The sequence below is a fragment of the Homo sapiens genome, chromosome 9, assembly GCF_000001405.40.
Source record: "Homo sapiens chromosome 9, GRCh38.p14 Primary Assembly".
NCBI classification, from domain to species: Eukaryota; Metazoa; Chordata; class Mammalia; order Primates; family Hominidae; genus Homo; species Homo sapiens.
The window spans coordinates 135,770,809-135,796,842 of record NC_000009.12 but is presented as its reverse complement, the minus strand read 5'-3'; the positions used below and the strand labels follow the sequence as shown (position 1 = coordinate 135,796,842).

The 26,034-nt window shown below is 61.7% G+C and overlaps 1 protein-coding gene and 1 long non-coding RNA gene across 12 annotated transcripts in view, besides 1 other annotated feature; one reads left to right on the top strand and one right to left on the bottom strand.

Annotated features, from left to right (window-relative positions):
• The window catches only part of KCNT1 (potassium sodium-activated channel subfamily T member 1), a 93,318-nt gene continuing 68,624 nt past the window's right edge, over positions 1,341–26,034 (bottom strand). For 8 of the 11 annotated variants that reach the window (NM_001272003.2, XM_011518880.2, XM_024447618.2 and 5 more), the window contains 15 exons: positions 25,748–25,986; positions 23,894–24,128; positions 21,428–21,533; positions 19,333–19,505; positions 18,348–18,419; positions 18,021–18,155; positions 17,373–17,484; positions 12,718–12,819; positions 12,225–12,308; positions 11,954–12,082; positions 11,513–11,533; positions 10,322–10,646; positions 8,681–8,743; positions 4,962–5,046; positions 1,341–4,802 (listed from right to left, as the gene is read on the bottom strand). In NM_001272003.2, coding sequence (NP_001258932.1) covers positions 4,682–4,802; positions 4,962–5,046; positions 8,681–8,743; positions 10,322–10,646; positions 11,513–11,533; positions 11,954–12,082; positions 12,225–12,308; positions 12,718–12,819; positions 17,373–17,484; positions 18,021–18,155; positions 18,348–18,419; positions 19,333–19,505; positions 21,428–21,533; positions 23,894–24,128; positions 25,748–25,986 — 2,002 coding nt within the window. In that variant the 3' untranslated portion in view covers positions 1,341–4,681. The remainder of the gene's footprint in view (positions 4,803–4,961; positions 5,047–8,680; positions 8,744–10,321; positions 10,647–11,512; positions 11,534–11,953; positions 12,083–12,224; positions 12,309–12,717; positions 12,820–17,372; positions 17,485–18,020; positions 18,156–18,347; positions 18,420–19,332; positions 19,506–21,427; positions 21,534–23,893; positions 24,129–25,747; positions 25,987–26,034) is intronic. The other 3 variants (NM_020822.3, XM_011518878.4, XM_011518879.4) reach the window with 1 other exon arrangement.
• LOC107987140 (uncharacterized) lies at positions 4,802–8,914 on the top strand. The gene is made up of 3 exons (XR_007061851.1): positions 4,802–6,783; positions 7,172–7,347; positions 7,480–8,914. It is a non-coding gene; the product is annotated as an uncharacterized LOC107987140 (long non-coding RNA).
• Positions 12,400–12,900: an enhancer, noted in NCBI's record as "H3K4me1 hESC enhancer chr9:138675789-138676289 (GRCh37/hg19 assembly coordinates)". NCBI's record gives its function as "activates a minimal SCP1, AML or CMV promoter by ChIP-STARR-seq in primed H9 embryonic stem cells {active_cell/tissue: H9 hESC(primed)}" and the evidence as "EXISTENCE:reporter gene assay evidence [ECO:0000049][PMID:30033119]".

Here is a 26,034-nt window from a genome sequence, read left to right as displayed (position 1 = left end):
CCATCCAGGCAGCTGTGGGGCAGAGACGGCAGCTTTCTGGGACCCAGGGGCACTGCAGGGGCTGATCATGGTAGCCAATGCCTGGACACCTGGCAGGCGGCATGGCCATGAAGGGGCCGTGCCTCAGTTTCCCCACTGAGGTACATGCACCCTCAGGCAACTGCATCGCTCACCTGTCACCTGGCACCTTCAAGCAGGTGCCTGCCTGGAGGAGCTCTTCCTGGCTTCCAACCAGCTGTGCCACCTGCCGTGGGTGCCCTTTGCAGCCTGAGCACCTGACCAGGTTGGACCTCTCCAGCGGCGAGCATCTGCTTGCTGAGCGGGACACCTTCCTGTACCCAGGGGCTCTTCAGGAGCTGGAGCTGCGGGGAACTGGCTGGCCACACTGCCGGCTGTAAAACCATGTGCCATCTAGGGGTCACTTTAAAACCCTCCAGCCTGGACACACATCCAGGCTTGAGGTGTGTGTGGGAGGTGGAGAAGGACAGACAGGGCTGAGGACTGCTGAAGCTGGGGCTGACGTGCTGGTCATGTGACTCTCCATAACTTGGGGACTTAACAAATCCACTATCGGTCTCCATCTTTTTTTTTTTTTTTTTTTTTTTGGAGATGAAGTCTTGCTCTGTCATCCAGGCTGGAGTGCAGTGGCACGATCTTGGCTCACTGCAGCCTCCTCCTCCTGGGTTCAAGTGATTCTCGTGCCTCAGCCTCCGGAGTAGCTGGGATTACAGGCACACACACACAACACCACGCCTGGCTAGTTTCTGTAATTTTAGTAGAGTTGGGGTTTCACATGTTGGCCAGGCTGTTCTCAAACTCCTGACCTCAGGTCATCCGCCCGCCTCGGCCTCCCAGAGTGCTGGGATTAGAGGTGTGAGCCACCGCGCCCGGCCAGTCTCTGTATTTTAATTGGTGTATTTAGACTAATTCATGTACATTGAATGTGATGACTGGGTTCGTGGGATTATCATCTACCATATTTGTAACTGTTTTCTATTTGTTGCCCTTGGTCTTAGTTTCTATCTGCCTTTCTTTTCTGCTTTCTCTGGTTTCAGTTAAGCATTTTATATGATTCCATAGTCTTGTCTTTTGTAGCGTATCAATTATACTTCCATATATAGAAAAAAATAATAAAAAGAAAAATAAGTATATATATATTTTAGTGGTTGCCCTAGAGTTTGCAGCTCATCCAGATCCACCTGTAAGTTACACTGTACTGCTTCTCAGGTCACATGGTAACTTGTAACTGATGGCCCCCGCTTCCTCCCACCTGTCCCTTTTAACGTTGCTCTTACATTTCACTCACACATAAGCGATAATCACCCAATACACTGTTGGTATTCTGATTTTGAGCAAACAGTTTTATTTTCTTTTTCTTTTTTGTTTGTTTGTTTTGTTTGAGACAGGGTCTCTCTCTGCCACCCAGGCTGGAGTGCAGTGGTGCCATCTCAGCTCACGGCAGCCTCAACCTCCCCAGCTCAGGTGATCCTCCTTCCTCAGCCTCTTGGGTACCTGGGACTGTATGCACATGCCACCACGTCTAGCTATTTTTTTTTTTGTACTTTTTGATACAGTCAGGGTTCATCATGTTGCCCACGCTGATCTTAAACTCAACTCCTGGGCTCAAGCAGTCCACCTGCCTTGGCCTCCCAAAGTGCTGGGATTACAGGTGTGAGACACTGCGCCCTGCCCAGTTTTCTGTTAGATGAATTAGGTATAAGGAAAATAAAAACAAACAAAAAACAGGAATAAGGAAAATAGCAGGTGTCTCACTCATTTTGTATGTTTCAAATAATTCTACCGTAAAACATTAAAAAAAATTCTTTTCGCTTATTCTAGGCAGTGATGACTTCTTAGGGAATTCAGTCCCTCAACCTTTGCTCAGATCCTACTTCACTTGGTGTACTTTGCAGGGGGACCTTTTATGGGTCAGCAGGACACGAGGCTGGGAGAAGTGATGGTGGACGAGGACGGCTGGGAGCAGGGACCCACCTTCCTGATGTCATGACTGTGCAAGCTGGGGCTGTTGGTGAGTGGGCTCGGGACAAGCAGAGAGGCACCCGGGTGCTCCCTAAACCTGGAGATGAAGAACACAGAGGCCAAGGAGAGCACAGAAGTTTCCAGATGCTGCAGGCAGCTTTTCTTGGGCTGGCAGCTGGCATCTCACAGTCACTGACCTGCCTGGTTCCAGCCCCTGGCTCCCAGCTTTGCCCACGGGAGGATTCACAGGCCGCTGGGCGCTGGGTGCCACCTGTGTCCACGGCTGCCCGCATGAGCTCCAGGCGGAGCAGGGGGCCTAGAGCTGGCATCCTCTGCGGTTAGTGAAGGGGCAGGGACTGCCCGCCTCCTCCTCGGATGTCCAGGGCTGGACCCGAAGTGGCCTCATTACTGGAGATTATGAAAAAATGCTGCCACTTGCCACCAGTGTGCAGGAGGGAACGGACCACTGATGTTCTCAGAGGCCCCAAGTGCTCACCCAGCCCCTCTTGGGCAGCAAGCCTTCAGCCCTCTTTGGGGGGCTCCGCTCACCCCTGGAGAGAGGCTCAAAGGCTAAGATGCCTCCCGGCCTCATGGTGGTGGAGTGGCCACAGGGGACTCCGGGAACACCATCCACATCGCAAGTCAATCCCGAATAAGTCATGCGACTCCCCCATGGTGCCTCCTGCAGGCCAGCTCTTCCAGTGTGGGGCTCCAGGGGCTACAGCTTCCCCTGCCACTGCTGGAACTGTGGCCCTCCCATCCCAGCAGCCAGACCGGCTTTTCTCTCCCTTCTCCTCCCTGCAGGTGCTGTGCAGCCCCCCTCGCCTGGGGGCCAGGGTGTGGGGGACATGAGAGGCCACCCAGGTGAGGCAGACTTGGGCCTTCCAGCTGCAGGGCGACTGCGGGGCGGGGTGACTGCGGGGCAGGGCGTGCTCGCTGCTTGGATCCCAGGAACGTGATAGACCCCAGCCCTGCTGGGACAGGCTCTGGCCACCCTAGCCCAACATCAATCCCTGCCGCTCCATCAAGGTCCTGGGACTTACTTTCTGGTCCCCTGAATCCACACAGCCTCTCCCTGACCACCCATGTCTGGCTCTGTCCCCCACAGAGGGCTAGTGGGCACCTTCTGAGCAGGAGGGTTCCAGACAGGCCGGGAGTAAGGGACTAGCTAGTCTGTGTGGCCAGGGCCGGCCCCTCCAGCAGCTGCTGTGTTGTCTGCCCTGACACCGGGGAGGGGCTGCACCTCGGCCTTTTGGTCCTTCCCCTTCAGCCTCTTGGGGTACCCTGAAGTGAACGTGGTGAGGTGCACACACATCCCCACCTGGGGCAGCCCTGACCCCCAGTGTAGGGGATCCCCAGCAGCCACTGGCCTCAGATGAGTTCTGTGCCACTGCGGGCAGAGCCTGGGGTCTCTGTGCCCACCCCAGGGACATGCCTGGCTGCAGGGGTGAGGCTGATGGGCAGCTCACCAGACAGCCCTCCTGGACTCTGGGACCCCCACCACCAGGCAGGTTTCCTGGCTACCAGGATCCAGTCACCAGTAGCCAAATACAATTTGGTTCCCGAGTTTTGGAAGGACTGTCCTGGCCTGGCTGGGGAATGGGGGCTTGCCTATGGGGTTGGGGTGGGGACCCCAGCAGGTGTTTGTAACCCTTAAAGTGGGGTGGCTGGGAGGGGTGAGAGCCTTGGAAACACGAGCAGGGCGACTTGACTTGTAACTTCATGCCTCCAGAATGCATCCATTTAATAGAAGTTTCCAGCGCTGACCGTACAAACCAGTAAGGAACCAGCAGCAAAGGACGCAGGGTGGCGCTCCTGATGTCAGCCGCCGCCCGGGATCTCGCCTTGCTGAGAAGATCCTCTCTCTCCACGTGGCCCAGCCCGGAGGCTGAATTGTGCTTCACAAGTCAGGGGTTTAGAAAATGAGGCTTTGCTTTAAAAGGTAAGTGTAAAATGGTCCATGGAAATGCACCATCTTCCGCCCAATGCCCCCTAGATGCAGTGGCTGGGACAGTTCAGTGTGAAGTAGAGGAAATGGCGTCTTCTGCTTCCTTCAGAAAGGTCCTCGGCGACAGGGCCCTCTGGGGGACCTGGGGACGCACCCCTCTCACATGCCCGGCTTCCCCGGGCCCTTTGCTGCTTCTAACTTCCAGAAGGGGCTTGGGACAGCAAACAGCCCAGGGTCCCCCTCACCCACCCCAGAGTGCAGAACAGCAGCCCTGGCCCCCAGCCCTTGGCTGCAAGGAAGCGAGGCTGCCTGGCCGTGAACGCTCAGGCCGGCTCTGAGTTGGGTGTGGCCCACGCGGGGCTCCTGGGTTCTGGGTTCTGCTCCCCTCCCCATGCACCCCAGCCCCACCCTCCAGCACAGCCTGGGCTCGGCCCTGTAGGGCGTCCAGTCCCTGCGTTGCCCTCCCAGCCAGCCCTGGTCACGAGTTGCGGTACATCTGTGTAAAGAGAAGTGGACTGCATCGACGTGTAAAAATAGGTTAAAAAACTCTCCTCACTAGCCTGCAGGTGCCCAGGGGTGAGCTGGCCCTCCCCCCGCATGAGGGGCTCCTTTCCAGGGTGGAGTCCCAGGAGCCATGGTGAGTAGAGTGTGCCATCCCCAGGGTCACGCTAGTGCCACCGTGTCCTCACACGCTCCTCCACGTCCTTCCTGAGGACCCCGGGCTTGGTGGCCTGAGCTCCGTGCAGGGCTGGCTCAGAGCTGTGTCTCGTCGCGAGTCTCGGGGTTGCAGGACGACAGCTTGTGGCTGCAGCTGCTCTTCCGGCTCTGGGAGCTGCTGGCCACGTGAGCCAGGGGGTCGGAGCGGATGAGATAGCTGCGGGAGGGCACAGAGGACCCTGGAGTGGATGTGGGCCGGGCAGCCCCTGCTCAGCCCTCTGCTGAGCGGCCCCACTGTGGTGCCTGTGGCCTCATCTCCCCAGTGCCCACCTGGTGCTCAGGGGGGGTCTCCACACAGCCCACAGGTGCTACTCACACAATGTCACTGGGCTCCAGCCTCGTGTCGGGCGGAGGGTTGATGAGGACGTAGGAGAGGGTGTTCTGGTGGTCGTTCATCTCGTCTGCAAAGGACACAGCCGGGCAGACGTCACCCCCCCAGCCCTGCCCCTCCCAGCTCTGCAGGGGCCCAGAGGTGTGGGGGCTCCAGGATGAGCTGAGTCTTTCCGGCCTTCCTGACCATTCTGCTCCAGCACCTCATCCTGGTGAGCCCAGCCAGGGCCCATCCCTGACCGACACCTGTCCCATCTCCACACAGGGCAGGGGACAGCCAGGAGGGCAGCTGGGAGCCAGCTCTGACCCGCACCCACCTCTGGTGCTAGGTGGCATCGCAGCAAAGGGGTGGCCCTGAGCAGAGGCACTGAGCACACCTGCACACACCAGCGCACACCTGCCACGTACGTCAGCCTGCAGACACCGGGACGTGTCTGTTCACCTCACATGCATGCATGCCTTCATCTACACCTGCACACACCTGCAGATTCACCTCTGTATTCCACACACATTTGTGTGTCTGCACAGATCTTCATAGCAACCCATGCCTATGGTATCCACAGACCCCTGCACACTCACTCATATACACACCTGCATGCCGTCCTCCACATCCACACACCCCCACCCCCGCCTCCAGAGGCTGCTCAGCCCTGTCCCTCCCTCAGGGCCCTGCAGCTGCCGCTGTCCCCGGGCCTGGACAGGCCATTCCCACTCGCTGTGCTCAGCCCTTTGCTTCAGACTGAAGTCCTGAGTGGCATCAGCCCAGAGCACCCCCACCCCGCAGCTCATCCCTCCGAGAACATGGCCTCTGCCCCTCATGGGAGACAGCCTGGCGTCCGGCTCATGGGGTGGGCGTGGGCATGTGTCCCACAGGGTGAGAACGGTCCTGGAGAGACAGCCCCCCCATCATCTCACAGTCTCCATGGGGCCGGCAGGGTAGCCCTGCCAAGCACAGGGAGGGAGAGGCCACCATCCCAGCAGTGGCCCTGGGTTCACTGGCTGGAAAGGGTCTGTGGCCTCAGTTTATCCATCTGATGGTGTCTACGGGAAGCTCCTGGATTCCTGTTCCAGGACTCCAAGGACAGAGAACAAAGGTGACCCAGGACGGGGGACCCCAGGGAGCCTCCACCCTGGCTGCTGCCATTCCCTCCTCTCTGCCCGTCCTCTCCCCTTGGGGTAGCCCTGCCCTGGTCCCTGAGAAGGGAAAAGTCGGGGAGGCTGCTGGCCAGCCAGGTGGGGGCCATGCTGGTCCCTCTGCAGTGGGGGCTTTGGAGTTCCCACAGTGTGAGCACAGCTGCTGCCAGGGTGGCGGGGGCACAGGCTAGGACTTGGGGGCGACCAGGGCAGCTCCGGCCAGGAGACCAGCTCTGCTTCAGGCCTTTCGCACACGGCGGCAGGTCATTTGGTGCCAGCTCCTGTGTCCACACCTGCGGGATGGGACGGCCTGACACCTGCCCCTCACAGCTGTTTTGCTCTTTTCCCAAAACCCATGGTGGGGTCTTCCCCAGGCCTTTGGAGGAGGCCCAGGGGCCTCATGCTGAGGCTGTGCAGGGAGACACACCCTCCCCACCCTCGTGCCCACACACGCTTCTGGGGTGGCCGCATGGCAGGTGGCACAGGGAGTGGGTGGTGAGGGCAGCTCTAGTAGGTTCTTGGGACCCTGCCCCCCTGCCTGACTGGCTTTGTGACGAGCACCCAGTGGGACACCGAGAACAAGGGGCCACCAGCTCATTTCACTCCGGCAGGCACAGACTGGCCCCCAGGCCCCAGCTTCTCCCGCTGGGGTGCCCGGACCACACGCTTCTGAAGTAAGCAGAGCTCACTGGGCTGAGCCAGGCTGGGCTTTGTGTTTCTTGGGGCTGGGCTAGGGGGCGGGTGGGGATGCCAGGCCCCAGCTGCAGTGCCAGGGCCTGGGTTGTGGTCAGTCACATGGCACTGGTCCTGGCTGCCCAGGATGGTCGCAGAGGACTAGCTTCGCGTGTCCACGGTGCTTGGTGAAGGCTGGCAGCAGGTGTGCCTGAGGGCCTGGGGTGGGGCAGGGGCTGGCTTTGGCTCTTCTGGTGCATGTCCTGGGGCAGGGCCACCTCGCCCCTGGTCCCCAGGGCTACCTGACTCCTCCACCCAGACCCTCCGACCTTTACTCCAGGCCTCAGTGGTAGCTCTGCTCGCCCCCCAACCCGCTTCCTAACCCTGCAGGCCCCAGAGGCTTCCAGACCTCCTGGCTCTTGGCATCCACGGTCACTCCCGCCTGAATCCCCCACGCCAGGCCAGAGCTACCGCCACCCGAGCCTCAGTTTCCTTCTCTATAAACTGGGGATAACTAGTGCCTCCCCCCACGGCAGCTGTGAGGAAGGCGTGAAGAGGGGATTTGTGTGAGTATCGGGGCTGGGGTGCCTCCTCCCGCTGTGTGTGTGGGATGGGGGCTGCACGCTGGAGGGGCCCCAGGATGCTGCCCGCCCTCCCCGCAAAGGGTGTGACTCTTCCTGTTCTGCCTCTTGGCCTAGGCTCCGCTTGAATCTAAACATGGGGGTGCAGCTCCCCAGCCCCAGAACCCCGGCACCGTCACCCTCCCGGGCATGTAGGCCGAGCCCAGGAAATGCCTGCCGCGGGAGTCCTGTGAGCCCTCGCCCCCCAAGCCCGCTGTGGCCATGCCTGCCCTGGAGCTGCAGTGGGAGCCGCAGGAAGCTTTGGCGGGTGAGGGGAGCGGGCGACGCAGGCATCCCACTCATGAAGGCCGCTAGCTGCAGGTCCGAGCACCACAGTGCCCGGCAGAGCGAGGGTCTTCCATGAGCGCCATCGTGGGGAAAAGCACAGAGCCGGGAGAGGCCGACGCTTTACTTCTGTGGCTGCCCCAGGCCTGGCCCTGCCTCCGGGTGCAAGGGCATTGTGGCAAACAGGTCCCTCCCGAGCTAACACCCGTCCTGGCTCAGGAGGCCCTTCAAGCTCCTGGGTTACCCTGTAGGGAGGTGTGGCAGCGGGGGCAGGCTCTGAGCTCCCCTGAGGCTGCCAGGACCCCTGGGAGCACCCTGGCCCGGACTCTGCTGAGCACTGACGGGGCACAGCATGTTCTTGGAGGAAACGGGGTGTGGAGCGGCTCTGCTCGAGCCGAGCAGGAAGAATCCCCTCGTGGAGCCCCAGCTGGGGGACGAAGGTCACCATCCACCTGGCCTGGGCAGCCATAAAGCCTGCCTACTCCTCGTGGCTTGGAGTCCCCACCCCTGCATCCAGCCCAGGCTTCACCGAGCTCCTCCCGGGGCCCTGGCTCGGGACCCTCTGGGTGCTTCCTGAGAGCAGAGGAGCTTAGGGTCCTCAGACTGCTTGTGGGGCCGGCCACAGGGAAGGGCTGGCTGTAGGCCAGGGTGGCCCACCGGTCACATCAGAGCTCATCGTAAACAGCAAAGCAGGAGAAGCAGCACCAGGGTGAGCCCGAGAGCTGGGCAGTCGCCACTCTGCCTGGCGGCCAACAGCACCTTGACTAGCACAAGCCCCAGACCTCAGCCTCAGGCCCGTCCTCAACGCCCAGCCAGGGGACACTCTGTCGGCATGCGAGGCCTTGCCCAACAGGGCCGCCTGGGCTGACACCTGGGACGTGCTCTCACAGCTCCTGTCCACCTGCCTGGCCGGGATGGCGCAGCAAGGCTGCCGGCGGTGAAGGGTTGGCGAGCCCCGTTGTGCGGTGGTCGGCACCCGCCAGGGCAGAATTACCTTGCAAATATCCCAGGTTTACCCGATTCATGACATCACTGGCTGTTAAATTTGCTACGTCCTCTACAGAACACACAGAAAGAGGCACAGACAGAAAGAGAGAGAGAGAGAATATCAGCAAGCGAGGTGCGGGCGGCCGGCACAGTGGGCGGGTGCAGGGGCAGCTGCACGGGAGGCCGGCCACCAGAAGCGAGTCGGTCACCAGAAAGGCAGTTGCTCCTTCCTTGCCAAGCTCTGGGGGCAGGCAGCGGTCGCAGAGGCAGGCACCAGCTCTGGGGGTGGCCAGACCGGGCGGGATCATCCTCTGCCAGCAGTCACAGGGGACCACAAACATGAATGCTGGGCACCCCCCTCAGCCTCGTGAGCCCCACCTGAAAGGGCGTGAAGTCCCTCCCGGGACAGGGACACTGTGGGGATGGAGGGAAGCTTCAAGGCGGGGACAGGGGGACACCTTCCCCAGCGCCCACAGGGCTGGGGGCCGGGAAAGGTCTTCACAGGCCACCTGTTCCCCAAACCCTGGCCTCTGAGTCTCCTTCGGGCCCGCAGGCCAGCCCAGCCCAGTCACCCGTGAGCAGCTCCTGGGCCAGCCGTGAGCTCCTGACTCTGCTCAGGGGACTCAAGACCCCGACCCAGGTGACAGACGCAGGAAGCAGGGTTGGGAGACGGGGCACTCCGACGGGACAGAGGCAGCCCTGAGCATCAGGCAAGTCCCTGAGATGGAACAAAGGGAAGGTGGAGCCTCGACCCGGCTCAGGGGTGGGTGTCACTGGGTAGCGGCCCGGTGCTGGGGAGCTGGGGCCCATGGCTTCATCAACGGAGGTAGCATCTCTAGAGTGAGGGAGGGGATGAGCTTCTCTCCACGCCAGGCAGGGCATGTAGGGCCCCGAAGCCCAAGCACACTTCCCACCACAAGGCGCAGAGAGAGGGGGCTGCACGGATCTGTTGCTGAAGACGGACGCCGGGCTCCCTGAAGCGGCAGGAGGGGGCTGTGCCGTGGGAGTGGCAACAGGCCCATGGTGGACAGAGGCATGTCCTGGCATGGGCCTTTCCCCCAACTGTTCCCCCAAAGTCTCCCCCCTACCCTGGCTGCTGGGAGGGCTGGGGGCTCTGGGAGGGGGTCCCCACCAGTCTTGTTCTCTGCGAGAACTCAGGGACCCTGGGTATCCGCTGTCCAGCAGGCCTGGCTGCAGCTGGCTGGCCCAACTCTAGCTGATGCCCTCGACTTGGGGAGCCCAGCCTGGCCCTCTCCACCCCACAGCTGCCTCCCCTGGCCAAAGGGCTCAGCCAGCTCCTGTCTCTAATTTGGCAGAGAGGGAAACTGAGGCCCCAGAGCAGTGGAAGCGAGCACCTCCCTACGGGGCTCACACCAGGGATGCCCAAGGGTCCTGTGGCCTCCCAGCACCAGGGTGGGCCATGGCCACTTCCCTCCTCTGCACGGGGCCTCTGCTGGGCCGTGGTGGTGCCCACAGCTGGCCCCACAGTAGAGGCAGGCAGAGGGTGGCCAGAAAGGCTGACAGACAGACAGATGACAGACAGGAGGACGGCCCGGGCCCCGGGACGCCGTGGCCGACTGTTCTTGGCTGTGGCCCGACCCTGGCCCAGTCCGTCCGTCCGGCCCCCACCCGCGCCGTGTGCCCTTACCGTAGCCGGTGGTGGGCAGCCCCAGGTGCTTCATGCGGTTCTTCACCAGCTCGGAGAGCTCCTGGCGCTCAGAGCGCCGGTACAGGCTGAGGCGCTGCTGGCTGATCCACTCCGCGGCCGCCGCCCGGCCTGCCTGCTTGGGCGCCTTGCGGCTCAGCCTCCGGGCCCACTGCAGGCTCTTGCGCCGTAGCAGTGGGTGCTCTGCGGGGTCACCGCCGCCCGTGTGGCGGCCCTGGGAGCTGCCTCCGGTGCCAGCGCGGGAGCCCCAGGGCCCCTTCACTTCCCGTGTGTCCTCACAGTCCTCCACGTTCACCGAGATCTGGGACTGGGCAGGGCAGGGCAGGGCAGGGCGGGGAGGGGTGAGGCTGCCGGGAGGGTCGCGGGCTTTGGGGCAGGGGCTTAGGAAGAGGTGTGGGCTCTGCAGCTTGGGGCCTGCGTGGGAGCAGCTGGGGGTGTTAGGGAAGAGGACGACGACAGACCCCAGGGTGCATGTGCCTTCCTCCTCTGGAAAGAATGTGCCTGGTTTCCTCCTGAGCACAGATCGCCGGGCCACCCACCCTGCCCGGGCCTGGTCAAGGGATTCGCCAGGCTGCTGAGGGCAGCTCCCTTCGCCTCTCTGAGCCCTTATTTCTGTGGGTCCGGCCTGGGACCCATCTGGACCCCAGCACATCCTGGCCTTGCCCTGAGAGGTCACCCCCTCTGCGTGTCAATTTCTCCATCTGCAGATGAGCCCTGATCCCTCTTGCAAACACACCCTTTGGAGGCCCCGAACCTGGGGAACGTGGGGTGCCAGAGCCTGTGGGTCGTGGGGTGCTGGGAAGAGGTAGGCATCCCACCTGGGTGGCACCTTCAGAAAGGCCTGGGAGGCTGGGGGCTGGTCAGGCCAGATGGGCATGGGGGCTGCCTGCCTTGGTGGGGCCTGGGAGGGGGCGGGGGTGCACCTGGTGTCCAAACTCACAGGCTACTCCCCCCAGGCCTCAGCTTCCCCACCACCAGTGCAGGAGGGAGTGAGTGTCAACAGCCTTCTCTGAGCCGTGCTGGGGCCGACACATCCGTGGGACCCGCTCCTGCCTCGGCTTTCCCAGGGCCCTGTGGGTGGGTGGGTGGGTGGGGCCTGGCAGGCTTCTCCATGTGAAGCTGCGATGTTCTGGTGCTCCGCAGAAGCTGCGTGGGCACGGAGGGGTTGCTTACCTGGGCTCTGAGGTCGTGGGGCTGCAAAGGAAACAGGCGCAGTCTGGGACCTGTGGGCGCACCCCTGCCCCCCACGCCGCCTCAGCCTGGGGTCTGCACGGAACATGCTTAGGGCTGGTGGGCACGGTGCCTGCTGCTGTGTGGACTGCAGCACAGGGGCTGCCCGTATTCTTCCTGAAGACTCCCCTGAGCCTCTCTGCCCCCGGTAGGGGTCATGGCTGCTCCAGCTGGAAGCGCTACACGTGGGCACACGGACCAGACGGAAGGAGCTGCCAGCAATAGCAAAGCTGATCTAGCCCAGGTCCCTGACACTGAAGGTGGGGATGCTGTGGGTCACACAGGACAGGGGCTGCCACAGTCCCAGCCCCCGGAAGGTGGGGATGCTGTGGGTCACACAGGACAGGGGCTGCCACAGTCCCAGCCCCCAGGCTGCCCCAGAACCTCCGAGGTGGAGAAGACGTGGCTCTCTGTCCGGTAGATGCCAATGGGGATCTCGGCGCTGGAGGAGCAGAGCTTCTGGAAGAGGCGGCCGTACGTGCGGATCCACAGGTCGCCCTCGGTGATTTTCATCTGCAGGGTGGGAACCCTGAGTTGGCTGGGGCAGGTGGCAGCACCCAGAGCCTCCTGGCCACCGTGAATCAGGGGCAGGTGCCCATCCACCCACTTGGACAGCCCAGCACGCCCCCAGCCCAGCGCAGCCAGGGGCACTTACGGCACAGAGGTACCCCGAGCCCGGCGTGGTGTCCAGGCCCAGCAGCAGCCGGGTGATGGTGATCATGTAGTCCTTCACGAAGGACTGGCCAGGGAGGGAGGGAGGGAGGGAGGGAGGGAGGGAGGGAGGGAGGGAGCCACAGTGAGGCACGCGGGCACGGGCGTGGGACACAGGTCCATACCCCACCGGCCACGGGCTCGCCACCCCTCATGCATACACACACACAGAACCACCAGGTCCCCAAGCACCACATGACCCACAGGCAGAGTTCTGGGAGGCCTTTTCTAAGAAAACTCCCTTGCCAGGCACCCATAGGTCAAAAAGGGCCCAGAAATCCCTGGGGCAAGGACAGGGCCCAGAGGTCTCCTTGGAATCCAGGGAAGGTCATTCAGAGGGAGTCCTATCATTCAGAACAGGGACCAGGCTGAAGAGCTGAGGGCATGACGGGGGTCCCACCCAGGCGCCACCCTCCTGCTGCCGCTTCCCCGCTGACCTGGTAGAGCAGTGTGTCCAACATGCTGATGCTGAAGACGCGGCCGGCGGCGAACGGCAGGCGGAACATGAAGGCCAGGTTGGAGCCATTCTCTCGCTCCCTCTGTGGGAAAGGAGGGGCCTCAGATGGGCTGGTGCCGAGGTCCCTCCAGTGGCACGGCAGCCACGGGGTCGAGGGCACTGTGTGTGCACCGTACATGTGTGCATGATACCTGTGTGCACATTTGTGCATGGTGTGTGTGTCCACGTGTACACAGTGTGTGTCTGCATGTGTGCATACACCGGCAGGCCTGAACCAGCTCTATCTTCCCAGACACACTCAGGGCCAGAGCCCGGGAGGAGTGATGTGGGGCTCTGATGAGAAGGTGGACTCCCGGCGGCTGCCATGGGCACTGCGCTTGGTCAAGCGCCCTGCTCTTGCCATCCCGAAATTCCAAATCCTCCTGATAATCCTCTCCTCCCCCGGTGTTTTGTAAGTGGTGCCGGAGGGCGTGTGGAGTCTGGGCTGAGGAGGAGCAAGCATCGGGCTCCCTGCTGTCCTTGGCCTCCCCGTCCCTGTGCTCCAGGCTTGCAATGGACCCACTGAGTTTCCTGGGGCTCCCGTAACAAATGACCGCAAACTTAGCAGCTAAAACGACACCTGTCTCCTCTCTCCCGTTTCTGGAGTCGGGAGTTTGAGGTGTCTCAGGCTGGATCCAGGCCTGGGCAGGGCCCCGCTCCCTCTGGAGGCCTGGGGGCCTCCTTCTCTTGCCTTTTCCAGCTCCTGGAGGCCACCTGCCTTGGCTTGTGGCTCCCTCTTCCCTCTTCTGAGCTGGCCGTGCAGCTTCTTCCCACCGGATGGGGACCTCTGGCCTCTCCCTAGAAGGACCCTGACGGCGTGAACCTGCCGGATGCTCCAGGAGGATCTCCCATCTCGAGGCCCGTGACTTAATCCCATCTGCAGAGGCCCTTCTGTCACGTGAGGCGGTACATCCACGGGCTCCGGACCCGGCCGTGGCCAACTCTCGGGTCATTCTTCAGCGGAGGGCCCCAACCCTGGAGCTCGGCCTCCAAGCAAGTGTGCACAGGCAGGCGTGTGCGCCCACGGAGGCCACACTTCCCCCCGGAACCAGAACTCGATTCACAGGTAAAAGACACGACAGCGACAGGACAAGCAGGCAGAAGCCCCTTTTCCTCCGGGTTCGCCCTTACTCATCAGTGGCCGGTGGGAAGGCTGGGGCGTGAGAAACAGTGGAATTAGTTTCGTGCGGCGTTTCCGCTCTTGGGGCAAGAACCAGGTGCGATGAGCTGCGATGGGCGTGTGAGTTTGCAATCGTGGTGATTTGCATCCAGAATTCCAGCCGTACTTCGCGGAGACGAACGTGAAATTCCAGAACAACTTGCAATTTTAATTTTCCTTTACTCAGAACAACGCTAAACAGGAAACAAGAACCACGACAGGGCCAGAGAGAGACGTGGAAGGAAAGAAAAAGCTGGACGTTTCAGGACCTTCCAGAGATTTCCTCCTGCTTTCTGGACAGGAGGGCTTCAGCAGGGGCTGAGCGGGTGCCATTCACAAGTGACAGTGAAGACAGGAGCACACAGGAGCGGATGAGCCCTTCCTGAGCACGAGACCCCCGGTCAGAGGGAGCAGGACAGGCACCGTGCAGCCCCAGGATGGGCAGAGCCAGCCTGAAGGAAGGCTCCTGGTGAGGAGGAGAGATCACACAGGCTGACCATGTGAAAGCAATGAAGTGGTGGAGGAGTCCTGGGTGCTGGAGACCAGGGGAGGTGGACGGCAGGGGAGGTGGGCCTCAGGGGAGAGACTCCTCTCACACACCGGGGCTCTGAGAGCCTTCTGGAGCCAGCCCTCAAGGGGAGATGCATGTCACCCCACCAGCAGCATCCTTAATAATAGTTTCATTTTTTTGCTTGGTTTTTTTTGAGACAGGGTCTCGCTCTGTCGCCCAGCCTGGAGTGCAGTGGCACAATCTCGGCTCACTGCAACCTCTGCATCCCGGGTTCAAACAATTCTCCTGCCCTAGCCTCCCAAGTAGCTGGGGTTACAGCCACCACGCCCGGCTAATTTTTGTGTCTTTAGTAGAGAGGTTTCTCCATGTTGGCCAGCCTGGTCTCGAACTCCTGACCTCAGGTGATCCGTCCGCCTTAGCCTCCCAAAGTGCTGGGATTACAGGCATGAGCCACCGCCCCCAGCCATTAAATTTTTTGTATAGATGGGGACTTGCTATGTTGCCTGGGCTGGTCTCGAACTTCTGGCCTCAAGCGATCTTCCTGCTTCAGCCTCTAAAAGTGCTGGGATTACAGGCATGAGCCGCTGCACCTGGCAGAGCATCTCACTGACGGTCGTGTATGCCATCTCCACCTCCTCCCTTTTTCCTTCCGGAGTCGTGCCTGGAATCCTGTCTTTATCCTTCCACTGGGCCTGGATGTAGAAGATGTTGGCTGCAGGGATTTGGGGTAACTTTTCTTCAATTTTTTTTTTTTTTTACTTTCAGTATTCTTTGAAGTAAAATACATACTAAACATGTACATTTTTATAATAAATTGGCATTAATGTCTTTTAAATAAGGATCTGAAGCTGCCACAGGTGTCCTTGTTGGAAGCAGGTCACCGTATGCTGGCCCGTCAGAGAGACCCATGGGGGATCTGGGGCCAAGGCCACCCAGGCTGGAGAAGACGCAGCCCCTGGTGCCTTCTACAGGCTCCTTGCATGCTGGGGAGGCGGATCCCAGCCTCTGCAGAGGGTGATGGGTCAGGTGGTCCACGGCACCCTCTCCTCCCTCGGCTCCACGTCTCTGTATATGCCTGGCCCTGCCCAGGGCCCAGGGCATCTGTCCCACATGGACCCCAGCACCATGTCAGCCCAGAGGAGCTCACGGCTGCTTCCAGAGGCTTTGCCGATGTCCTGATTTCTCCTTGGTCCCTGTCACACAACTGCCACGGAATCGCATGACTGGAGCTGGAGCCCAGGACTGTTCACTGCTCTGAGATGGAGAGCTGGCCGCACCCGCCCCGGCAACACAGAGCCCCAGTGGAGGTGAAGCCGGGGAAAGAGATGGGCCCCACGGCGGGGCGGAGCGTGGGTGATTGGCGATGGCTGCCTGGCGGGAAGGCGGGCAGGAGCGTGTTGGCTGCGTGCTTGCTGACCCAAACTTCAAGCCACCTTGTGGGACAGAGAGGTGCAAGGCTGAGGCCGGAGGAGCCGCGCCAGGATGACTGCCTCGACCCCGACTCCACGGCAGCATCCCTGTCCACACAGGGTCAGACTTGGTCTTCCAGATCCGGAGAGTCCTCCCAGCCCTGGGGAGCGGCCCGGCACCCGAACACAGAATCCTGTGAACTTCCTCCCCTTCCGTGGTTCCAGCTGCAGAGCACACCCCTCTGCCGGCTGAGCCGGGGACTGGGGCCAGGAGCTCCCGACGCTGGGCAGGGCAGGCTCCAGGGTGGGCTTGGGCGGCGGGCAGGGCAGACAGAGCCCTCTCCTGTGCTGAGACCAGGTGCCCGAGCATCCCCCTACGCCTCAGGCTGGCATCTCTAAGGCAGAAGCCCCTGTTGACCTGGTGGCTGCCCAGCCCGGCCTCCTCTCGCTTCTCTGGGGCAGAACTGACTCCAGGATCCCTATGGGCTCTTGGTCCACGGCTGGCCGGAACACACTTTCACTCTCCATCGGGTTCAGGTGGGACAAAGCCATGTCCGTGTCGCAGGGAGTGCCCGTGTGTGTCCTCTGCCTGGTGTTGGTGGCCAGGCCGGGCCTGGCTCAGTAGATCCTCCACGGTGTCACAATCCTGCAGCCACGCAGGTCCCAGCAGCTCGCCGATGAGGACTTCAGCCCAGACCGGTGAGCTCGGGGTTCGTGTAGAGCAGACAGCATTGCTGCTGACCAAGGTGCCTGCTCCCTGCTCTCAGCCTAGGGCTGCCTGGGCACCAGCCCCCGTGTGGACAAGGTGGTGCTGTCCCAGCTTGAGCAGGTGGGGAATGCGGTGGGGCTGGGGTCAGCCAGATATCAAGGCAACAGCAACAGTGCCCGTGCCCCTGGGTTCCACACCTGACCCTGGGTGGTGCCCTTCATGGAGCTCCAAGGGCAGAAAGCCAATTCCAGCTCAGCCACTTGCTCCACTGTGCGATCCGGGGCAGGCCCCTTCCCTCTCAGGCCCTCCGTCCCTTGTCAATACAAGGAGGCAGTGGTTATACTGAACCTGTTTCAAGGTCGGGCGTAGTGGCCAGGGCAGCGGAGAAGTCTGGAATGGTGCAGCCGTGTGCGTTATCTGTACTAAGAGCTACTGGCCAACCTATGTGGAACCACCGATCTGAGGGCTCCCCACGGGAGTTCTGACCAACTGACCATGCCAGGACAGATGGCCTTGGCCTCCAGATACGGCCAGGCCTGGTCCCTGCTCAGGGAGATGGAAGGCTGCTATGGGCCACATTCCCAGTGCCTCACACGCGGTCAGGGAAACGCCCTGCCTCCATCTCCTGGTTCCACCATCAAGAGCACCCTGTCCATGCTGGGCCCCCCACGCCATCTCCTGAGTTCCCCAGCAGGAGGGCGGCAGGAGCCCAGCCTCCCATGGCACTGGCCCCCTTTCCCCTGAGCCCCTTTCTCCCACTCTTTCTGGGATTCTGGGGTGGCAGCTGGCACGGGGCAGGGCTGCTCACCTTTTCTAGTTTGGAAAGAGCCAGAGAGTAGCTGTCCTTGGCGCGGAACTGCATGAAGCGCATGTTGGAAGGGTGGGTGAGCTCCGTGGTGATGCTGAGGCTGGGGAAGAGCCTGGGGGAGGCAGGCGGCTCAGGGCGGGGCCCATGGTGGTTGTAGGAGGTCTCAGGGTGGGGGCCCATGATCATGTGGCTGTGGGGGTCTCAGGGCGGGGTCCCATGGCTGTGGGGGGGTCTCAGGGCAGGGCCCACTGTCTTGGCTATGGGGGTCTCAGGGCAGGGTCCCACGGCTGTGGGGGGTCTCAGGGCAGAGGCCCATGGTCATGGCTGTGGGACTCTCAGGGTGGAGGGCTTGTGGTCGTGGCTGTGGGGGTCTCTGGGCAGAGTCCATGGCTGTGGGGGTCTCAGGGTGTGGTCCCATGGCTGTGGTTGTGGGGGTTTCAGGGTGGGGGCTTGTGGTCATAGCTGTGGGGGTCTCAGGGCGAGGGCCCGTGGTCGTGGCTGTGGCGGTCTCAGGGCGAGGGCCCGTGGTCGTGGCTGTGGGGGTCTCAGGGCGAGGGCCCGTGGTCGTGGCTGTGGGGGTCTCAGGGCGAGGGCCCGTGGTCGTGGCTGTGGGGTGGTTTAGAGCCGAGCCCCGGACACTGGACGCACCGGAACATGGTCTGCACGTTGACGATGGTCTTGGCGTCCGCCATGTAGTCCTCCTCGGCGCTCATGGTGCTCTCCTTGTCCACCACCACCAGGTTGTCCGCATAGATGATGCCACACTGCAGCAGGCTGTCCAGGCTGGTGGCGGGACCGAGGGCCCGTGGCTGAGGATGCGGCCCACTCCCCACCCACAGGACCCCGGGATTTGGTCAGAAGGCAGGAGGACCTCAGCCCCCCACCCCACCTGCGGTCGGGGTCACCCCAGACTTTGGAAGAGGAGGGGAGGGGTGGGTGTGGAGCCCCCACGAGCCTCGGCCGGCCACGCCTTACTTGTCCACAGAGCCCTCCATGTAGTAGACCATGGGGAAGCAGCAGATGGCTTCCAGGAAGTGGTGGTCGGGCCTGTGGGGACAGCGGTCCTGGAGGGGCCCACCCTGCTTCAAGGCCTGCCCTCCTCAGGCCCAGTGGGGCCCTACCCTCCATGCACAGAGCTGGGCCAGGCAGGGGTTCCCCAGAACCGCAGCGTATGGGACCTGGGGAGTACTTTAAGGCCAGTGGGCCATTCTTTATTTTATTCAAGGGGAAACCAAGGCCCGGGAGGGTGGGACCTGCTGAGGTCACACAGCCAAGATGACCCTGGGCTCAGCTGTCAGGGTCCTAGGGTCCCCTGGGCAAAAAGGTGCCCAGGAGGAAGAGCCATTTATCCCTCCACCCCAATCCTGGGGCTCAGAGTGAGTGGAGCAGGAGGCAAACAGGACAGAAGGAGTGACAAGGGAGGAGGGGGAAAGGGGGAGAGAGGACCAGAGTGGGAGGAGCTGGGAGCCACAGGAGCTGAGAGCATGGAGGAGCTGGGAGACAGAGGAACTGGGAGTGGGGAGGAGCTGGTGGCCAGAGGAACTGGGAGCAGGGAGGAGCTGGGAGTGAGGGGGAACTGGGAGTGGGGAGAAGCTGGGAGTGGGGAGGAGCTGGGAATGGAGAGTAGCTGGGAACTGGGGGAGCTGGAAGCAAGGAGGAGCTGGGAGTTGGGTGGAGCTGGGAACTGGGGGAACAGGGAGCAGGGAGGACCCAGGAGCCAGAGGAGCTGGGGGTGGGGAGGAGCTGGGAGCAGGAGTGGGTGTGGGGAGGAGCTGGGAGCAGGAGGAGTTGGGAGCAGGAAGGAGAGTCCCCCTTTTTAGGAAAGCTGAGAGGACCAGGCCAGAGGCCCCATGTTCCCGTGCCCTCTGCAAAGGCGAAGGGTGGGCCCAGTTGGGGAGGCTGCTGGCTGCAGGTCTGAGGGCCCGGGTGGGCGGGGTGGGCTGAGCCCCAGGAGCCTCACTTGTTGTCCAGCAGCAGCACGATGGGGTTCAGCTCCTTGCGGGATCTGTAGTAGGCCCGCAGTGGCACGATGAAGTTGTACAGCCCATTGCCGGCCGTCTCTGCCGAGACGATGATCAGCTTGTTCTTGAACCCGTAGGCCTTGGCGTCTTCATAGCTGTTGTGCTTGCAGCCCTGGGGGCAGATGCTGGAGTCAGGGCTGGAGTCAGGGCTGTGGTTCCTGCTGGCCACTGGAGCCCTCCCAGACCCCTCACCAAACATCCCCCGTGAACACCCAGCCGTTAGCCTCTCGGCCCACAGCCCTTTCACGGCCTGCACACGCCTGTGGGGAGCTACAGGCACCACCAGATGCCACAGCTGTACCCACAGGCGGCACAGAGCAGTCATGTCAGGGGTGGAAAGGGCGGTGTCCATGTGAACATGTGGTTTTGGCATGTGGCTAGAGATCTAGGTGTGGGCATAGATACGTGTCATGTGTATGCACACACGTTTTCTCAGAGCAGGGATGCCAACAGCAGTGAGCACGCCACGTGCCCAGGTCTTGGTTTCCAATCATCATTTTCCACTAAAAGGAATCAGGGTTCCTTGGAGAAGTGGTTCATTCCAGACTGGAGCAGGCGAAGGCCAAGATGTGGCTGGAACATCTCCGGTTGGAAAGCACAGATGAGCTCAAAGGGTGAGGGGATCGTGTCAGAAGCACCCAGAAGCCGCTTGAAGGCCCCCACCCCACCCAGTGAACTGAGGGGGTCCGAGCATCAGAATCAATAACGATCTGTCAAGGATGATGCTACTGCAATGACCGGCCACAGATTATAACCCACAGAATATGCTGGGAGCCTGTGGTCCGTGAAGGACACACACACATGGGGAAGGGGAGGTCCCCTCCGTGGCCGAGCCCTAACACACAGCTGGAGAGAGATTCCGGAACTGGAAACCATCCACAGATGGCAGGCATGGTGGCTCACGCCTGTAACCCCAGCACTTTGGGAGGCCGAGGTGGGAGGATCACTTGAGTCCAGGAGTTCGAGACTAGCCTGGGCAACATAGTGAGACCCCATCACTACAAAAAATAAATAAATAAATAAAATTAGCCAGGTGTGGTGGTGCGTGCCTGTGTTCCCAGCCACTTGGGAGGCTGAGGTGGGAGGACCCCTTGAGCCTGGGAGGTGGAGGCTGTAGTGAGCTATGATCCCACCACTGCACTCCAGCCTGGATGACAGAGTGGGACCCCGTCTTAAAAAAAACCAAACAACAAATAAACAAAAAAGAACCCACTGAGGGATGTTGAAGCCGCTGGGTCGAGTGGTTTGCTTTCCTGATCTCAACACGTCCCCCACAGAGAAGCTGCTAACTCCAGAAGGAAAACAGTCATTTTCACAGTGGGGAAACCCTACTGACCCCAGCTTGCCATGAGATCCAAGTAAACATCGCCAGTGACCTGACAATTGACCCCCGAGTTTCCAGGGAGGGCTGGCCCCACATGCAGGCAGAGTCCCACCACCAAGAAACATCGCAGACCCACCTGCCACCAGGTCACTGGTCCCTGCTCTGCAAAAATATTAAGGTCAAGAGACCCCAGGGAACATTCCAGATTAAGGGAGAGTAACGAGAAAGGAGTTGCTAAGACGCAGCCGGGACAGGCTCCCGGTGGGGAAAACACTGCCACGCAGGACGCTGAAGGCCTTCGGGGCCCTCGGCCCAATCTGAACTTGGACTGTGGATCAGACACCCATGCCGGGCCGGGGTCCCTGTCCTAATGAGCTGTAGTTACGAGATGGTTCTTGATCTTTGGGAACGCATGTAGATGTATTAGGGGAAAGGGGTGTGGTGGCTCCAACCTGTTCTCAAGATGGCTCAGAAAACAGGTGCCTCTAACATAGACACTGTGAGAGGGAGAGCCCAAACGGGACAGGAAGGGACCGTCTGCTGAATCTGGGTGAAGGATCTGTGGCTCTCCCTTGCAGAATTCTTGCAGCTGTGCTAGAAGTTTGCAATGGTATCGAAATGTAAAGTGACCAAAGAGAAACCAGGGCAGGTATGCACGGCCCGGTGCTGGCGTCTGGGGGTGCAGAGCGCGGCAGAGCCGCCAGCCTTACCTTGTCCAGCCGCAGGCAGCAGAAGGGGGCTTTCACAGGCAGGAGGTGGCACAGGGTTGGGGAGCTGCCGATGTAGGGCGAGTTGGGAGGGTAGCCCTTCACATACCTGGGGCAGGAGACAGGAGCCCTCAGCACAGCTGCACAGAGGTGGCTGGGTCTGCTCTGGGGCCCCCCTCGGGCTGGGGGACTCGAGGGCACCCACTCCACCCACAGCCACGTTGCTCGGGGTCACGCACAGCTGACCCAAGGTGGCCCGTTCTTCCCTTAACCACCTGTGCATCAGCAAACGCTCCTCCAGCTGAGCCTGTGGTCACCGTGTCATAGGGCCTGCCTAGCCTTGGCACCCAGGACCCAGTGTGTCCTGCAGGGCAGTCAGGGCAGTGCCCAGGGCACCCATGCAGGTGCCGAACCTTAAGGACCCGTGCCTGCCTGGCGGGTCAGCAGCGGCTGCAAGGCCAGGGCTGGGGAGGCATGGACTTAGCCCCATCAGGGCCTTGGGGGACTGGAGGAGACCGAGGGGTGGGTAGGGCCCTCACTGCTGCTGCCCTCACCCAGGTGTGGAAGGGGGTGGCGGTGGGGCTCACCCCTCACCTGGTCAGCCCAGGACCCCCCCATGGTCAGCCCTCGGCATAACACATGGCCCCATACAGGCACACGGAAATGGACACACCCGGACACACACACAACACATGCGCACAGAAATGAACACATGCAGGCGTATGCACACGTGCACCACGTGCACGGACACATAACATACACACCACACACCCAGACACACAACACACACATCGACACACAACATACACAACACACAACACGTACCACACATGGACACACAACACACAGACACACCACACAGACCACACAACACACTACACAGACACACAGCACACACAGACACACAACATATGCAACACACACCACACAGACACAACACGTACCACACACGGACACACAACACACAGACACACCACAGACACACCACACAACACACAGACACACACCACACACACACGGACACACAACATACGCAACACACACCACACACAGACACAACACGCACCACACACGGACACACAACACACCCAGACACACAACACACAGCACACAGACACACACACCACACACAACACACCACACACACAACAGACACCACACACACCACACACGGACACACACCACACACAACACACAGACACCACATACCACACACAATACCACTCAGACACACATCACACACACGGACACATACCACACACACCCAGACACACATCACATATCACACAACACACACCACACGTGACAAACACACGTTGACACACAACACACATTACACATATGGACACACACCACACACATAACATACACCACACACACACACCGGACACACCCCCCTTGCACACCCACCCCCATGCCCTACTCGGTCTTTCTCCTCCCACCACAGCCTAGACCAGGCTTTTCAGCCACATGCAAAACCCACAGGGCTCTGCCCGCCCGCCATGCCTCCCTGACATCCCCAGCACCCCCGGCTGGTGGGGCAGGCACTCTGGCCTTGGGCTCTTACCCACATACTTGTCCAGCCAGGCTGTTGTCCCCAGCAGGCCACCACCCCGTCCCCAGCAGCACCCAACACACACATGCAATGGTTCAGGGCTGTTTCCCAGCAGCTGGGCTGTCATTACAGTGTGTTGACCCCACCCCAGAGGCAAAGGCCAGGACAGAGTGAGGCAGCCCCGCTGAGGATGGACCTCGGGCCCTGCAGCTGGGGCACTTGTCTGTCCTGGCTGAGGCCAAAAGGCAGAAGCTGCTGAGAACAGAGTGGGGCCTCCTGTCTCATGATTTGAAGCAGGAGGACTTGGCCCCAAACCTAGGCCAGGACAACAACTCAGGACGGGCTGTGGTTTCCAGGCTGGGACACTGCCTTGCCCAGGGGTTGCACAGGGACCCTGCTCAGAGGACACCCACCCCTGGTCAGGCGGGCTGTGCCCCTCTGTGCTCTGTAGTGCTAAGGGGGAGACCTAGGGCACTGGGTGGAGGATGGCCTGGGGTCACTGCCCAGCTCCATCCTGATTCAGAGAGTGGCCGGGCCACTATGGGGCTGGTGAGGTGGGTGGGAACGGGCCCCTCTCTGAGGGTGGCGCTGCCTGGTGCCTGACAGCCCCTGTGCCAGTGAGCTGCCTCGCTCCAATTAGCTCTGCACCCCCAGCCCCAACTGGAAAGGGTGTAGCCCAGCACACCCCATCTCAGTGACACTCAAAAGTGCTCCCCGGCGACGAGGGTGATGTGGCCCTGATGTCTGTGTTGGGCCCCCTGAAGATTTCATTTGTCAAACAAGGACTTCCACGGAGCTGTCCAGAAGCTGCAATTCAGAGCATGGGGGACCACCAAGGATGCTCCGACACCCATCCCCCGCACTCATGGGCGGCTCCTCCCCCCACTGGGAGCCGTCTCCAAGGCAGCACTCACTCTACCACGGAGAGCCCCTCGTCGTCCGACGGCGTCACCTCATCCTCCGACTGGTCGCTCAGCAGGTCGCAGGGCAGCAGGGCTGAGCTGTCGGCCAGTTCCAGGACGGGCGCGATGCTGGGCCGCCGGCTGCCCGAGCCGTTCTCCGTGGGCAGTGCCAGCTTGCTGCCCCCGCCCCCACCGCCGCTCTGCGTAGGCCGGTGCTCTGTGCCCTGCAGGTCCATGGCCACTGTCCCTGGAAGAGAGCCCTGTGCTTGGCCACAGCCCGACTCCCACCCTCCATGGGCGGCGAGTTCCCAGAGCTCAGGTGAACACAGTCAGCTCTGGAGACCCTGTCATGGCCTGGCTCCTGTGCTCCAGCTGAGGAGCTTCAATCTATGCCTCAGTTTCCCCCTCCATACAACAGGGACAGTGGCCTCTGGGGTGGCGATGATGTTGAGCGAAGACCCAGGGGGCCCCAGTGCCCCATCGGTGCCACCCAGGCCAGCTGCTGTGGCCTCAGCACCAGATGCCTGAGGAGGGGGTTGGCTGATTCTGGGCTCGGGGGTCTCAGCCTTAGGGGCCTGTGCAGCTGGTCAGGCTGCCTGGTGGATGGGGCCAGGTGGGGAGCAGCTGGGTGACTCAGTGCCTGTGGGAGCAGACTCTGCCACTCCTGCACCACCCCAGGCTGCCAGATGGGGGTTGTGGACCTCTAGGTATGGCCCAGGGCCTCTGTGGGTACAGTGAGGGTTGCCCGAGTCACCCTGGTTTCCTGGAAGCCACCTGGGGGCAGAGTGCCTACTGCGCAGGTGAAGGTGGAGGTGTGGCTAGGCAGCAGCAGCCTGCCTCCCCAGTGCCCTGCGGCCAGGCCCGGCCCCCCGAGTGAGCTGCCGTAGACGGCGGCCGGGAACCTGCGGGGTCTGGCAGGTGGTGGGCTCCGCATCGGCACGTCTCCAAACCCCAGGGCCCTCTGGGTCTTGGAGACTGTGCCCCACTGCACTGAACCACCTGGTGCCCCAGCAGCCACCGTGTAACAACACCCCAGGGTGGGCGTGCTGGGGTGCCCCATAGGGTCAGCCTCTGCCTGGGCCACTGTACGGAGGTGGCAACATGCTGGCCCGGCTGTGGGTCTGTGGCCTGAGTGGCTTCCTGGCCTGGCCCTGCTCCCTAACTGTCCCCCAGGAAGGCCTGGCTGGGGAGGGGGCAACACCACTATGGGTGGTGCCCTAGGGGCCATGGGCCTCCACCTGCTCAGAGGCAGCCTGACCCTGTCTGGTAAGCGGCTCCCCGGGAGGATCCCTGAAGGCACGAGAAGAGGCCAAAGCCCTCGGCCACTGCGACCTCATTCCGCCAACTCCTGGCCCCAGTGGACGTCAGGACTCCCGACTGTTTGAGGGACACACGTGAAGCAGACCCTCCGGGCTGATGGGACCACCAGGAGCCTCCGGTTGAGCTGCCAACCGGTCCTGTGGGCGGCCCCACTTGGACAGGCACTTGGACACAGTGAGCAATGCCCACAAAGGTGGCCACAGGAAGGCGGGGACACCTGTTTGACAGATTCAAAAACAGGCCCAGAGAGACTCCACCTGTCCAAGGTTGGAGGCATAGGCCAAGAGGAACTGGGTCTGGGGGCCACATTGGCCTGGTCTCCTGCCCTGCCCGGTCTGGTCTCCTGTCCCACCTGGTCTCCCGCCCTGCCTGGTCTCCCGTCCCACCTGGTCACCTGCCCCTGTCCTGCCTGGTCTCCTGTCCCACCTGGTCACCTCCCCCTGTCCTGCCTGGTCTCCCATCCCACCTGGTCACCTGCCGGTGTCCCGCCTGGTCTCCCGCCAAAGGAGCAGGCCCAGGGAGTCCCGCGCGCCTGTCCCGGCTCACCCATGGAGGCGATGATGCTGTGCACGGGCAGGCGGGCCGGACCCTCGTGCAGCCCCTGCCCCGAGAAGGCCCTCTTCTTCCGCTTCTCCTCCTGCTTGAAGATGAAGGCCGAGTTCTCCTCCTTGGTGATGTTGATGTAGAAGCAGGTGTCAGAGGCGGCCAGGATGTGCCGGGGCCCCGGGTTCAGCAGGATGCTCTTGTTGTCCTCCCGCTTCAGCCCGATGAGGCACACGCCATACCTGGGCAGAGGCACCGGCAACTTCAGGTACCGCCGCTCACCCGCCCTG